The sequence below is a fragment of the Homo sapiens genome, chromosome 8, assembly GCF_000001405.40.
Source record: "Homo sapiens chromosome 8, GRCh38.p14 Primary Assembly".
Classification (NCBI taxonomy): domain Eukaryota; kingdom Metazoa; phylum Chordata; class Mammalia; order Primates; family Hominidae; genus Homo; species Homo sapiens.
The window spans coordinates 8,107,577-8,124,197 of NC_000008.11; the positions used below are offsets into that span (position 1 = coordinate 8,107,577).

Genomic DNA, 16,621 nt, shown 5'->3' on the forward strand with positions numbered 1-16,621 from the left:
GGCATCCTTGTCTTATTCCAGTTCTTAGAGGAAAGGCTTTTCAATTTTTCCCAGTGAGTAGGATGTTAGCTGTAGATTAATCATATATGCTTTTCTTATGTTGAAATGTTCCTTCTATGCATAACTTGTTGAGAGTTTTCATCATGAAGGAATGGTAAGTTTTACTGAGTGATTTTTCTGCATCTGCTGAGATGATCAGATAGTTTTTGCCTTTCATCTTGTTGATGTGATGTATCACATGCACTAATTTCTGGATGTTGAGCCATCTTTGCATTCCTGGGATAAATCCCACTTGATCATGGTATATTATCTTTTTCATTCATCATTAGATTTGGCTTGGTAGTATTATGCTGAGAATTTTTCCATCTGTGTTCATTAGGAATATTGGCCTGTAGTTTTCTCTTTCTGTTGTGTCCTTGTCTTGATTGGATATCAGGGTAATGCTGGCCTTATACAATGAGTTAGGAAGAATTCCCTCCTCTTCAATTTTTGGGAATAGTTTGAGAAGTATTGGTGTTTGTTTTTCTTTATAAACTGGGTAGAAATCAGTATAAAAGCCTAGTCTAGGGCTTTTCTCTTTGGAGAGACTTTTTGTTACTGATTCAAACCTGCTATTCATTTTGAGTCAGTTCAGGTTCTCTCTTTCTTCCTAGTTCAATCTTGGTAGGCTGTGTATGTCTGGGAATTTATCCCTTTCCTCTAAGTTTTCCAATTTGTTAGGGTATGGTTGTTCGTAATAGCCTCTAATGATCCTTTTTATTTCTTTGGTAACAGTTGTAATGTCTCCTTTTTCATTTCTGATTGTATTTATTTGGGTCTCCTTTCTTTTTTTTTGGTTAGCCTCACTAGTGGTTTATCAATTTTGTTTAACTTTTCAAAAAAACAACTTTTATCTTGTTGATTCTTTGCATTTCTTTTTTGTCTCTGTTGCATTTGGTTCTGCTGTTATTTTTTTTTTCTTTCTACTAATTGTGTGTTTGGTTTGTTCTTGCTTTTGGAGTTCCTTGAGGTGCATCGTTAGGTTGTTTATTTGAGATCTTTCTACTTTTTTGGTGTAGGCATTTATTGCTATGAACTTGCCTCCTAGTAGTGCTTTTGCTGTATCCCATAGGTTTTGCATGATGTGTTTCTATTTTCTGTTTAAAAAAAAAAATTTGATGTCCATCTTAGTTTCTTCATTGATCCAATGACCATTCGATAGCATGTTTAATGTCCATGTATTTGTACAGTTTCCAAATTTCTTCTTCTTATTGATTTCAAGTTTTATTCCATTTTGGTCTGAGAAGATACTTGATATGATTTTAATTTTTAAAATTTTGTTGAGCCTTGTTTTGTGTCCTAACATATGGTCTATCCTGGAGAATGTTCCATGTGTTGATGAGATGATTGTATATTCTGCTGCTGCTGGATGAAATATTCTGAAAATATCTGTTAGGTCCATTTGGTCTAAAGTGCAGCTTAAATCTAATGTTTCTTTGTTGATTTTATGTCTAGATGAACTGTCCAATGCTGAGAGTAGGATATTGAAGTTCTCAACTATCATTGTATTGGATTCTATCTCTCCCTGTAGATTTAATAATATTTGCTATGTGTGTCTGGATGTGCTTTTGTTGGTTGCATGCATATTTAGAATTTTTATACTTTCTTGCTGAATGGATCCCTTTATTACCATATAATGACCTTCTTTGTCCTTTTTACAGTTTTTGACTTAAAGTCTGTTTTATCTGATGTAAGTTTAGCTACTCCTGGTTACTTTTGATTTCTGTTTATGTGGTATATCTTTTTCAATCCCTTCACTTTCAGTCTGTGTGTGTCTTTACAAGTGAAATGAGTTTCTTGTAGACGTTGTTGGGTCATTTTTTGTCCATTAAGCCTGCCTCTATCTTTTAGGTAGTTAACTTAACACATATTTGAAGTTATTATTGATAGGTGAGGACTTATTCCTGTCATTTTGTTCATTGTTTTCTGGTTATTTTGTATATCCTTTTGATATGGTTTGGCTGTGTCCCCACTCAGAACTCATCTTGAATTCCCATGTGTTGTGGGAGGGATCCAGTGGGAAGTAGTTGAATCATGGAGGCAGGTATTTCCCATGCTATTCTTTTGATAGTGAATAAGTCTCTTGAGATCTGATGGTTTTAAAAGGAGTAGTTTCCCTGCTTAATCTCTCTCTTTGCCTGCTGCCATCCCTTTAAGATGTGACTTTCCTCTCCTTGACTTCTGCAATGATTTTGAAGCCTCCCCAGCAATGTAGAATTGTAAGTCCATTAAACCTCTTTCTTTTGTAAATTTCCCAGTCTTGAATGTGTCTTTATCAGCTGTGTGAAAATGGACTAATACAGTAAATTAGTACCAGAAGTGGGGTGTGGCTAAAAGATACCTGAATATGTGGAACTGACTTTGGAACTGGGAAACAGGCAGAGGTTGGAACAGTTTGGAGGGCTCAGAAGGAGACAGGAAAATGTGGGAAAATTTGGAAGAGATTTCCTAGAGACTTGCCCAAAATGCTGATGGTTATATGGACAATAAAGTCTAGGCTTAGGTTGTCACAGACGGAAATGAGGAACTTGTCAGGAACTGGCACAAAGGTGACTCCTGTTATGTTTTAGCAAAGAGACTGGTGGCTTTTTGCCCCTGCTGTAGAGATTTGTGGAATTTTGAACTTCAGAGAGATGATTTAGGGTATCTGGTAGAAGAAATTTCTAAGCAGCAAAGCATTCAAGAGATGACTTGGGTGTGTTAAAGGCCCTCAGTTTTATAAGGGAAGCAGAGCATGAAAGTTTGGAAAATTTGCAGCCTGAACATGCAATAGAAAAGAAAATCCCATTTTCTCAAGAAAAATTCGATCTGGCTGCAGAAGTTTGTTTAGGTAACAAGGAGTCAAATGTGGATCCCCAAGACAATGGGGAAAATGTCTTCAGGGCATGTCACAGATCTTCATGGCAGCCCCTCCCATCAAAGGCCCAGAGGCCTGGGAAGAAAAGATGGTTTTGTGTGCTGGACCCAGGGCCCCCCTGCTGTGAGCAGCCTAGGGTGCCTGAGTCCTAGCCACTCCAGCTGCAGCTAAAAGGTGCCTAGGTACAATGTGGGCTGTGGCTTCAGAGGGTGCAAGTCCCAAGCCTTAGCAGCTTCCACATAGTGTTGAGCCTGTGGGTGCACAGAAGTCAAAAATTGAGGTTTGGGAACCACTGCCTAGATATCAGAAGATGTATGGAAATGTCTAGACGTCCAGGCAGGAGTTTGCTGCAGGGGCAGGGCACTCATGGAGAACCTCTACTGGGGCAGTGCGGAAGGGAAATGTGGGGTCGGAGCCCCCACATACAGTCCCTACTGCAGCGCCACCTAGTGGAGCTGTGAGAAGAGGGCCACCATCCTCCAGACCCCAGAATAGTGGATTCACTGACAGCTTGCACTGTGTGCCTGGAAAAGCGGCAGACACTCAATGCCAACCCATGGAAGGAGCTGGGAGGGGGTTTATACCCTACAAAGCCACAGGAGTGGAGCTGTGGCCTTTTTTCTCCCAAGGCCATGGGAGCCCACTTCTTACATCAGCATGACCTGCATGTGAGACATGGAGTCAAAGGAGATCATTTTGGAGCTTTGAGATTTGACTGCCCCACTGGATTTTGGGCTTGCATGGCACCTGTAGCCCCTTTGTTTTGGCAATTTTCTCCCATTAGGAATGACTGTGTTTACCCAATGCCTATACCCCCATTGTATCTAGGAAGTAACTAACATGTTTTTGATTTTATGTGCTCATAGGTGGAAGGGATTTGGCTTGTCTCACATGAGACTTTGGACAGTGGACTTTTGAGTTAATGCTGAACTTAGTTAACAGTTTGGGGGACTGTTGGGAAGGCATGATTGGTTTTGAAATATGAGGATATGAGACTTGGGAAGGGCCAGGGACAGAATGATATGGTTTGGTTTTGTCCCCACCAAAATCTCATCTTGAATTCCCACATGTTGTGGGAGGGACCTGTTGGGAAGCAATTTAGTCATGGGGGCAGGTCTTTCCCATGCTGTTCTCATGATAGTGAATACGTCTCACAAGTTCTGATTGTTTTAAAAAGGGCAGTTTCCCTGCAGAAGCTCTCTCTTTGCCTGCTACCATCCATGTGAGACATGACTTGCTTCTTCTTGCCTTCCAACGTGATTGTGAGGTTTCCTCAGCTATGTGGAAGTGTAAGTCCATTAAACCTCTTTCTTTTGTAAATTGCCCAGTCTCAGTCAGGTATGTCTTTATCAGCAGTGTGGAAACAGACTAATACACCTTTATTCCTATTTTCTCTCTTTAGTGGTGATGTTTGAATCCTTTCTTCTTTGTGTGTCTGCTCTACCAGTGAGTTTTATACTTTCATGTGTTTTCATGATGGTAGATATTGTTCTTTTTCTTCCCAATGTAGGACTCCCTTAAGCATTTCTTGTATGACCACAACAAACAATACCCAAACAAACAGTCTTTTACTTATCTGAGAAATACTTTTTTCTCTTTTATTTATTTGTTTATTTATTTTTAGCAATGGAGTCTCACTCTGTCACCCAGGCTGGAGTACAGTGGCATGATCATAGCTCACTGCAGCCTTGAACTCTTGGGCTCAAATGATCCTCCTGCCTCAGCCTTATGAGTCTCTGAAATTACAGATGTGAGCCACTGTGCCAGGCTCCTTCATTTGTGAAGGATAGCTTTGCTGGGTATAGTATTTTTGGCTTACTTTTTTTTTTTAACTTGTAGTATACATCCCCTTTTCTCCTAGTCTGTAAGGTTTCTGCTGAGAAATCTCGTTAGCCTGATGGGGATTCTCTTATAAGTGACTTGTTGCTTTTCTCTTGCTGTTTTTAGCATTTTCTCTTTGTCTTTTGACAATTTTACCATAATGTGTCTTGGAGAAGACCTTTTTGAGTTGTATTTATTTGGTAATCTTTCAGCTTCCTGTATTTGAAGCTTTCAGGAAGTTTTCAGTTATTATTTTATTAAATAGGTTTGCTATGCCTTTACCCATCTCATCTCCATCCAGAACTCCCAGAATTTCAGTTTTTGGTCACATAGGTGTCCCATATGTCATGTAGCTTTGCTTCATTCTTTTTTCTTTCTTTTTGTCTGACTGGATTATTTTAAAAGACTAGTCTTCAGGTTCAGAAATTCTTTGTTTTGCTTGATCTAGTCTATTGTTAAAGCTCTCAATTATCTTTTGTATTTCTTTCAATGATTTATTCTCTTCCAGGATTTGTGTTTGTTTCTGTGTTACGCTGTCTATCTCTGTTGAATTTCTCATTCAGATCATGAATTGTTTTCCTGATTTTTTTGTATTCATTATCTGTGTTCTCTTGTATCTCCCTGAGTTTCTTCAATAACATTATTCTGAATTTTTTTCAGGCATTTCATAGATTTTCTTTTCATTGGAATCTGTTGCTGGAGAATTATTGTGCTTCTTTGGAGATGTTATGTTTCCTTTTTCATATTTCTTGCATCCTTATGTGACTATCTGTGCCTCTGACATAACAGTCACTGCTTCCAATTTTATGGATTGGCTTTTATATGGGAAAGACCTTTTCTTATAGCTATATCTACAATGTTCATTGGATATCACAGTTTGGCTTTGATTCTGGGTGGGTACAGTGGTATAATCTGCATATGATTTCTTCTGCTGTAATTGGATGAGTGGTGTCTGTGAGTCATTCAGTGGCTTAGACTGTAGTTTTTGTTTGTTTTTTTTTTTTTTTTTTTTTTGTGGTTGTTGAGATGGAGTCTAGCTCTATCACCAGGCTGGAGTTCAGTGATGCAATCTCAGCTCACTGCAACCTCTGCCTCCTGGGTTCAAATGATTCTCCTGCCTCAGCCTCTTGAGTAGCTGGGACTACAGGCACGTGCAACCATGCCCAGCTAATTTTTGTACTTTTAGTAGAGACGGGGTGTCACCATGTTGGCCAGGCTAGTCTCAAACTCCTGACCTCGTGATCTACCCACCTCGGCCTCTCAAAGTGCTGGGATTACAGGCGTGAGCCACCACACCTGGCCAGAATGCAGTTGTTATTGGAAGCTGTGGTGAGGCTTTGCTGAGGATGGGGATGCCAGGAAGTCTTGTCCTTCAGCCTCAGTTGTAGTGGTGGTGGACCAAGTTTGTCAATACTAGGGACCACAGGCAGTATACATGGGCACTGATGATAGCCTGTCTGCATGGGCCAATCCCTGGGCCTCCAGGTGGCTTCTTTGGTTGCTGGCAGTGGCAGCACTGGGCCAGTTGGGCAGGTGCACCACTGGGCTCCTGGGTGGTGTGTGTGGCAGTCTGATCTCTAGTTCTCCAGGTGATCTGTGCAGGTTCTGGTGGTGGGTAGGCAGGTGTTTCCTCAGGCCTCTCAGTAGTAAGGGTGAGCACTAGCTCTGGAGGCAGGTGAGTCAATCTCCAGGCCCCCGGATGGTACATTCAGGCACCAGCATATTCCTATGCATTTCTAGATAAAAGTATTTTTCAGAAAACCTGAGCATATGTCCTATTAATACAACTTGTCCTCATCAACTCTGCATGAGAAGAAGGGAGAATTCCCTCAGTAGAACATTCAGAATGGAATCACAGACTTGTTTTGAGCCAGTCACTGGTAAGGGGGGATAGGCTAAAATGATAAGCTCAGAATCTAAACCTTAGACTAGGGAATGGCAAACTTTTTCCATAAAGAGGCAAACAGTAATATTTTAGGCTTTTGGTCTAGATAACCTCTGTTGCAGTGACCCAGTGGTGCCATTGTAGCCTAAAAGCATATGTAAAAAATGCATAAATGAATGGACCTGGTTTTATTCCAATAAAACTTAATTTATACCAACAGTCAGAGGGCCAGATTTGGCCCTTGGTCTATAGTTTGCCAACCCTGTTTAGACCAGTCACAATTTATTCCCTGGGGCTGGGCCAAATTTTTCTTAAAAAAAAAAAAAGCAACCTACTGTCAGAATAAAATAGGGTTTCTATTTAAAAAGAAGAAGAGGCTGGTGTGGTGGCTCATGTCTATAATCCTAGCACTTTGAGAGGGTGAGGCAAGAGGAGTGCTTGAGGCCAGGAGCTTGAAACCAACTTGGGCAATATAGTGAGATCCTGTCTCTGCAAAGAATAAAAAAATTAGCCAGGCACGGTGGCACATGTCTGTAGTCTTAGCTACATAGGAGGCTGAAGGGGAAGATCACTTGAGCTCAGGATTTTGAGGTTACAGTGATCTCTGACTGTACCACTTGTACTCTAGCCTAGGCAAAGATGGAGAACCCAAAAACAAAACAAAATAAAAAAAAGGTTGGTTGGGGTGGGTTGGAGAAGAAAGTATTTCTGAATTTCTGGGTAGGTTACTGGTAGTATCAGGCCAAACTAGCTCTACAGTCATATTCATTATAAATAAAGGCAACTAGAAGATCTCCATCTAGCTATTAAAAATTGGTTAAAATCTACAGAGATAAAGGACGGTGACCCTTGTATCAGTTAGTTGTTGTCACAAAATGCAGCATAACAAGTCACTCCAAATCTCAGTGGCATAATACAACAATCGTTTATTTTCATGGACCTATGGATCAGCTGAGGATTGGTTAATCTGGCATGAGCATGTCTCAGAAGCTCGACTTCGCTCTTGGTGTCTCTTATCTTCTGCTGGAAGCAGCAGTCTGGCCTGGGCTTGTTCTCATGGTGATAGCAGGAGTGAGCGAGCACAAATGAATGCACACTTTCCAAGTTTTTGGTCATGCAGGTTAATATTCCAGTGGCCAAAGCTAGACACATGACTAAACCCAACATTAGGGGCTGGAGAAATATACTCCGATTCTTCAGTGGGAGGAACTGCAGAGACAAATGGCAGAGTCTTGGATACAGGGAGGACATGGATCCATTAATGTACCTTAATCAACCGCAACCCTCTAACCACCAATGCAATTAAATATTTGTTGAATGCACTTGTGCCTGAATCCTTCTGGCTGCAGCCCAGGCAATGGGGGCCTGACTGGGGAGGGACCATAGCAGGGACTCGATGTCCTGCAGGTCTGCATGTAATTGTGTACGGCCGACTCCACATTGGTCATGGCTGACTTGCTTTGTCCTGCATCCCCAAGGGGCAACAATTGGCTGATTTTATTTCTAAACAATTTTGACAAAGTTGTTTTCAGGAGCCCAGGAAGCAAATCAGTTGTGGATTTGAATTTTGCAGGGGGTCAGAATTGTTGAATATATATATAGTCTTTTACATGTTGATAATCATTTCCATACCACAAAGAAGGCCGGCTATTAGGAGGCTGCTGTTCAATTCCTTTGCCCCATGAACTCATGAGCTGTGGCTATGTGGGGGGCACTCAGTTGTTAGAGCTGTTTCCTTTCATAACAACATCAGCCAACATTCTAAATAAATGCAGGAAATTAAATAGTCTTCCCCAGACAGGTACTTTGCCCTTCTAAAGTGAATTACACATTGTAAAATAAAACACAGTCACATTAAAAAACCAAAAGGTCTTTGTGTCAGGTTGGTCTGGCTTCAGCAAAGATAATATTTCCCTCCAGAGTAGAAGATCCTTGGAATCCATGGTATTGCATATGGCAGCCCCACGTCTTGTTTCCTTTTCTTTTTTTTTTCGTTTTTAACTAAAAGAGTTGACAATTCTATTTTCACATTTCCCAATACAAATGAAAACTGCATCTTTTTTGGTCCCACTTCTCCCCTCCAAAACTATTCTCTTTGATGGGGCAAGAGGGCAAGTCTTCCTTATGCTGTTAAGAAAAGCCAGCATCACAGCGGCACGATCTCCTGGTGAAGGGAGCAGGTAAATATAAAACTCATACAGGCCGGGCGCAGTGGCTCACACCTGTAATCCCAGCACTTTAGGAGGCTGAGGCAAGCGGGTGACGAGGACAGGAGATTGAGACCATCCTGGCCAACATGGTGAAACCCTGTCTCTACTAAAATAAAAAAAATTAGCCAGGCATGGTGCACATGCCTGTAGTCCCACACTACTCAGGAGGCTGAGGCAGGGGAATCACTTGAAACCAGGAAGTGGAGGTTTCAGTGAGCTGAGATCGTGCCACTGCCTTCCAGCCTGGGTGACGGAGGAAGACTCTGTCTCAAAAACAAAACAAAACAAAAAAACGCACAACAATAACACCAAAAAAGCAACACTGATGTAATGAGCCCTCCCCTCTATCCTTATCTGTCTGGTCGAGTCATTCTGGGCTGACTGGGCACCATCATGAGATAGGCAGGAGGTCTCATCATTGGGCACCCAGGCATCACGGGCATGTGGCCTCCCATGGGCGGCCTCATTCCAGGAGCAGGTCCCACTGGCATCATCCCAGGAGGAGAAGGGCCCATCATTGGCATCATGGGAGGGCCTCCCATATGGGTGCTGCCATCATACTGAGATGTGTGAGAAGTGTCAAATACACATTAGATTGTGAAGCCTTAATATAAAAAGAAAGCAAAATATTTTGTTAATGTTAAAATATTTTATATATGTAGACCTGGTATTTTGGATAGATTTGTTTAAATCTGTGATATTATTCCAGTTACCTTCACTTCTTTTGTTTTCCTTTTTAAAATGTGGTTACTACAAAATGCAAAAGTAAATATGTGGCTTGCATCATATTTCATCATATTTAGTGTGGACCCTGAGGGTCTAAGGGAGTTATGAGCCTTAAGTTGAGGGTGACCCAGCTCATCGTGAATTGCTCTGAAAGAGAAGCAAAGGGCATAAAGAGAACGTATAAATGGAGAGAGGGAGCTCGGTCTTACAGGGTGAGGAAAGGCTTTCTTTATTACACAGTCTGGCACTTCTTCAAAAGCTTGAACACAGAGTTCTATGACCCAGCACTTCCACTCCAGTTTATGGAAGAAATGAAAATATATGTCCCTGCAGAAACTTGTACACAAATGCTCACAGCAGCATTATTCATAATAGCGCCAAAGTGAAAACAACACAAATGCTTGTCTACTGATGAGTAAAGAAATAGGACATGGTTTGACCATGCAATGGAATATTATTCAGTCATCAAAAGGAATGAAGTACTAACACGTGCTACAACACGGATGAACTATGAGAATATTAAGCTAAGTGGAAGAAACCAGTCACAAAAGGTCACATATTATAAGATTTCATTTATATGAAATGTCCAGAACACGCAAAGCTATGAAGACAGAAACCCTGTCTCTACTAAAAATACAAAATTAGATGGGCATGGTGGCATATCCCTGTAATCCCAGCTACTCGGGAGGCAGGAGAATTGCTTTAACCCGGGAGGCGGAGGTTGCAGTGAGCCGAGATTGTGCCACTGCACTCCAGCCGGTGACAGAGACTCTATCTCAAAAAAAGTAGATTGTCAGGGCTTAGTGGGAGGAGGAAATGGCAGGAACCTGCTCATGGATACAGGGTTTCCTTTTGGGGTGATGAGAATGTTTTAAAATTGATAATGATGGTGGTTGCCGACCTCTGTGAATGCACTGAAACCATTGATTTGTTCACTTTAAATGGGCAAATCATACGGTACCTGAATTATATTTTAATAGTTATATTAAAAAAGTAAAATCTTCCTTGAAGAGATGACACTTAAGGAGAGACCTAGGGGGTGGGATGAGTTCACTATGTAGAGAAATGAGGAACAGCATTTCAGGGTGAGGAACAGCATAGTGAAGTCCCTGAGGTTGATAGGCATAGAGCAGATTTAAGGGACTTTTTTTTGAGACGGACTTTCAGTCTTGACGCCCAGGCTGGAGTGGAGTGGTGTGATCTTGGCTCACTGCAACTTCTGCCTCCTGAGTTCAAGCGATTTTCCTGCCTCAGTCTCCCTAGTAGCTGGGATTACAGGCGCCCTCTACCACACCTGGCTAATTTTTGGATGTTTAGTAGAGATGGGGTTTCACCATGTTGACCAGGCTGGTCTCGAACTCCTGATGCCAGGTGATCCACCCGCCTCAGCTTCCCAAAGTACTGGGATTACAGACGTGAGCCACTGCGCTCAGCCAGATTTAAGGGACTTTCAAGAAGTTTGTGTGGCTGAAGCCTGCAGGGCAAGCGAAAGAATCAGGAAATGAGGCTGGAGAAAGAGAGGGGCTAGGTCATGGAGGGTCTCACATTAGTGTGTGGAAACTTCATACGAGTGGTCCCACCTTGGGCATCCCACGTAACTACTCTTTGTCCCAGCTTCCCCACTCGTGAAATCAAGGGTGATGTAGGGATGGACTGAGATAGAGTGTGCTAAGTAAAGGTGAGCTTTGATCATTGTTTTTTGTTTGTTTGTTTTGAGATGGAGTCTCACTCTGTCGCCCAGGCTGGAGTGCAGTGGCGCTATCTCGGCTCACTGCAACCTCCGCCTCCCGGGTTCACGCCATTCTCCTGCCTCAGCCTCCCGAGTAGCTGGGACTACAGGCGCCCGCCACCACGCCTGGCTAATTTTTTTAATATTTTTAGTAGAGACGGGGTTTCACCGTGTTAGCGAGAATGGTCTGAATCTCCTAACGTCGTGATCCACCCGCCTCGGCCTCCCAAAGTGCTGGGATTACAGGCGTGAGCCCCCGTGCCCGGCTGAGCTTTTATCATTGTTAACCCATAGAGCAGTGGGAGCCATTGAAAGTGAGTGATCTGTTTGGATGCACCTTCTGAAGTGATTGCTTTGGTCCCTGTGAGGAGTGCAGATTGTCACAGGGCCAGGGGAAGACAGAGGCCAGTGAGGAGGCATTTGCAGTCAAACAGCTGGAAGTGATGGTGGCTTGGTTTATGGTGGTGTCAGGAGAGTGGCTGAGCAGTGAACGGATCTGAAAAGATTTAGGAGGTAAAACCCACGTGACTTGGTCACTGAATGTGGGTTGGGTGGGCTGGAGGGAAGGTAAGAAAGAATGAGAAGAAAAACATACTCAAGTGGGCCCTCCAGCCTAAGGTTACTTGAGGTCTCTTTGTGAAGAGGAATATTTGTGTTTATGATGAAGATGTCTAGACTTTCAAAGGCCACTTGCAGTATTTTTTTTTTAACAGCCAACAACTCCTCCTTCCCTATGCCCTAAACATATGAATTTTTTTTGGCCCTAATTTATTATAGAGGGATGGATGTTCATTTGCTTTAATGAGAAACGCAGTATGCCAATAAGAAAGCATATTCAATTAATCTGGATTGCTGTGAGGGAGTTTAATCTGTTTCGATGTGCACCAGTGTTACTATAATAGTTTGCTCTAAACCCATTTCTGGCCTGTGGCTGCAGGAGTTTGACTCCCAGCTTGCTTTCATTTGAAAGATCCCAGCAACAAGCACACTTGGCATTTCCAGCCAAACCCACTTTGTGCAGCGAAGGAAAAGTTGAGGAGTGCCTCTGTTGTTTTCCCCCAAATCATTTGGCAGAAATGTGGCTGGGAGTTTCATTGCTGATTTTTTCAGTTTTAGTATTGCTGTGGAAAGCCTGTACCAACACTCAGCCATGTTATTCATCCACAGCTCCAGTCTGGGCTGTGATTTGTTTTTCCTTTGAGTGAGACTGAATGCAAATAGACACTCATGCACCATCACCATCACTCCCCCTGATTGGCGGAGGGAAGTCAATGGAGTGATTCTAGTTTGGTGTTCATATCGGAGGGTTTTATTTATTTTGAGACGGAATCTCTCTCTGTCACCAGGCTAGAGTGCAGTGGCGCACTCTCGGCTCACTGCAACCTCTGACTCCCTGGTTCAAGCGATTCTCCTGCCTCAGCCTCCCGAGTAGCTGGGCTTCGAGGCATGTACCACCACGCCCGGCTAATTTTTTGTATTTTTAGTAGAGACGGGGTTTCACCGTGTTAGCCAGGACGGTCTTGATCTCCTGACCTCGTGATCCGTCCGCCTCGGCCTCCCAAAGTGCTAGGATTATAGGCGTGAGCCACTGTGCCAGGCCTGGAGTTGTTTTTAAAAGCACATTTCTCTCACATTAACTCCGAGGTGTCCCACTGTGACTTGGGCAAAGGTTTGGATTTTCTGGAGGTGGAAAGTCGAACTTCAAATAGAATTTGGAGGCTGCCACTGTGGCTCATGCCTGTAATCCCAGTACTTTGGGAGGCTGAGGTGGGTGGATCATTTGAGGCCAGAAGGTCGAGACCAACCTGAGCCACATGAAAAGGCCTCGTTTCTACTAAAAATACAAAAATTAGCCAGGCGTGGTGGTACATGCCTGTAACCCCAGCTACTTAGGAGGCTGAGGCAGGAGTTATCGCTTGAACCTGGGAGGCAGAGATGTCCTGTGTCCAAACCCCATGAGGCGTATCAGCTGGCTGAAGATAAAATCGGTCACGCAGTGTTGGGATTGGGGTTGCTGTTATCATACCTCATCCCCACCCCTGCTAGGCATCCACAAATAGTCGTCTTCAATGAGACGTCCCTCCTGCCCCTGGCTGCCTTATTTCATCTGCACCCAACCTTATCCATTGCTTGTCAGTGGGTCTCAACCTTGGCTGCATCTTGGAATCTCCTGGGGAGATGAGACAATACCAAGGCTCTCTCTCACTCAGCGTGATGTTTCCAAGTTCCATCCACATGTAGTAGGCACCAATACTTCCATTGTACGGATACAGCACATTTTGTTTATTCATTCATAAACCGAATGACCATCTTTGTTGTTGCTACCTTTTGGTTATTATATATATTACATGATTCCATTTATGTGAAAGGTCCAGAATACGCAAATCTGTAGAGGCAGAAAGCAGGTAAGTGGTTGCCAGGAACTGGGGGAAAGGGGAGGGGATGGAGAGTGCTTGATGGATACAGGGTTATTTTTTGGGGGGCGGGGGGTGTTAAAGAAAATGTTTTGGAACTAGACAGAGATGATGATTGCTTAACATTGTGAAGGTATTTAATGATACTGAAGTGTATGATTTCATACAGGGACTTGTATGTTATGTGTATTTGGCCTCATTAAAAAAATAGTGCTTGGAGCAATGGCTCATGCCTGTAGTCCCAGCACTTTGGGAGGCCAAGGCGGGCGGATCACCTGAGGCTGGGAGTTGGAGACCTGCCTGGCCAACATGGTGAAACCCTATCTCTATTAAAAATACATGAATTATCCCTTCACATCTTTGGGGGGTAACTTTTACAGTGCAGTCTAACAACCAGCTGCCTCAAAATCACTGGGATCCCTCGTAACCAGGTAGCTCCCCCATCTCCAACTCTGACCCGCCAAGTCAGAATCTTGTGGGTGGGGCCGAGAACGGTACATATTGAAACAGACAGTAACCTGGGAACTATTTCTGAACACCCCTGTTTCCCCTGTGTTTGCCCTTTCACATTTGGACCCCTTTGTGTGCTGACCACTGGGCTGTTTCACGTGGACATAACATAAAAAAGACAGGCCAGGTGCAGTGGCTCATGCCTGTAATCCCAGCACTTTGGGAAGCCAAGGTGGGCGAATCACTTGAGGCCAGGAGTTCGAGATCTGCCTGACCAACATGACAAAACCCCATCGCTACCAAAAATATGAAATTAGCTGGGTGTGGTGATGTACACCTTTGATCCCAGCTACTCAGGAGGCTGAGGCTGGAGAATCCCTTGAGCCCAGGAGGCAGAGACTGCAGTGAGCCGAGATCGCACCATTGCACTCCAGTCTGGGTGAGAGTGAGACTATTAAAAAAAAAAAAAAGACAGAGATGGTCCCTCCTTTATGGAGCTCTCAGTAAAATAAGAAAGCTCACGATGTCCTGGCATTTGTCAGAAATATATTTGGTATATGTAGCTGGGTTCACATGCTTGACATGCCTATTGAAAGCTTCTGAGTAGGAAGAGAACAATCATCACAGCATCACAGCCTGGCATAACTGTCTCCCAGGACAGGTCTCCCTGGGGAGTCAACTCTGAAATCAGAGCTCAAATCCAGGTTCTACTTTTCGCTCAGTAATGTACATGATGTAGGACAGTTTTTATATTAGTTATCTATTGCTGTGCAAAAATATTACTGCAAACTTTGTGACTTGAGACAGCAAACAGTTACCACTGCACGGTTTCTGTGGATTAGAAATCCAGGTGTGACTCAGCTGGGTTCAATGCAAGCCTGTGGCCATAGTGTCAGCCAGGGCTCAGTTCTCATCTGGAGGCTTGACTGGTGATTGATCTGCTTCCAGGCTCATCTGGTTGTTGGCAGCATTCAGTTCCTTGCAGGCTGCTGGACTCAGGGCCCCAGTTTCTTGCTGCCATCAGCTTCTTGCCACATGGGCCTCTCCATCTGGCCGCTCATGACATGGCAGCTCACATCTTCAAAGCCAGCAAGACAGACAGCCTCCTAGCAAGACAACTTAACATCCTATCTATCTAACATAATCACTACATCCTGTCACCTCTGCCATATTCTCTTGGTTATAAGAAAGTCATAGGTCCCTTTGTCAGATGAGTAGATTGCAAAAATTTTCTCCCATTCTGTAGGTTGCCTGTTCACTCTAATGGTAGTTTCTTTTGCTGTGCAGAAGCTCTTTAGTTTAATTAGATCCCATTTGTCAATTTTGGCTTTTGTTGCCATTGCTTTTGGTGATTTAGACATGAAGTCCTTGCCCATGCCTATGTCCTGAATGGTATTGCTGAGGTTTTCTTCTAGGGTTTTTATAGTTTTAGGTCTAACATTTAAGTCTTTAATCCATCTTGAATTAATGTTAGTATAAGGGGTAAGGAAGGGATCCAGTTTCAGTTTTCTTCATATGGGTAGCCAGTTTTCCCAGCACCATTTATTAAATAGGGAATCCTTTCCCCATTTCTCGTTTTTGTCAGGTTTGTTAAAGATCAGATAGCTGTAGATGTGTAGCATTATTTATGAGGGCTCTGTTCTGTTCCATTTGTCTATATCTCTGTTTTTGTACCAGTACCATGTTGTTTTGGTTACTGTTGTCTTGTAGTATAGTTTAAAGTTAGGTAGCGTGATGCCTCCAGCTTTGTTCTTTTGGCTTAGGATTGACTTGGCAATGCAGGATCTTTTTTGACTCCATATGAACTTTAAAGTAGTTTTTTCCAATTCTGTGAAGAAAGTCATTGGTAACTTGAGGGGGATGGCATTGAATCTATAAATTACCTTGGGCAGTATGGCCATTTTCACGATACTGATTCTTCCTACCCATGAGCATGGAATGTTCTTCCATTTGTTTGTATCCTCTTTTATTTCATTGAGCAGTGGTTTGTAGTTCTCCTTGAAGAGGTCCTTCATGTCCCTGGTAAGTTAGATTCCTAAGTATTTTATTCTCTTTGAAGCAATTGTGAATGGGAGCTCACTCATGATTTGGCTCTCTGTTATTGGTGTATAAGAATGCCTGTGATTTTTGCACATTGATTTTGTATCCTGAAACTTTGCTGAATTTTGGTATTTTTAGTAGAGATGGGGTTTGCTGAATGCAGCCCCCAGTCACGTACTCCCTGCTTGGTCAATCGATCATGACCCTCTCATGTGGACTCCCTTAGATTTGTGAGCCCTTAAAAGGGACAAGAGTTGCTCACTTGGGGAGCTGGGTTGTTAGAGACATGCGCCACCATGCCCAGCTAATTTTTTTATTTTTAGTAGAGACGGGGTTTCACCATGTTGGTTGGCCAGAATAGTCTCGATCCCTTGACCTCGTGATCTGCCCACCTCAGCCTCCCAAAGTGCTGGGATTACAGGTGTAAGCCACTGCACCCAGCCCAGAGAA

The 16,621-nt window shown here is 43.1% G+C and overlaps 1 long non-coding RNA gene and 1 pseudogene across 1 annotated transcript in view; both read right to left on the reverse strand.

Moving 5' to 3' along the window:
- The window catches only part of FAM85B (family with sequence similarity 85 member B), a 126,742-nt gene that overhangs the window by 6,815 nt on the left and 103,306 nt on the right, over positions 1-16,621 (reverse strand). The gene's annotated exons all lie outside the window — the stretch shown is intronic.
- SNRPCP17 (small nuclear ribonucleoprotein polypeptide C pseudogene 17) lies at positions 9,137-9,373 on the reverse strand (annotated as a pseudogene).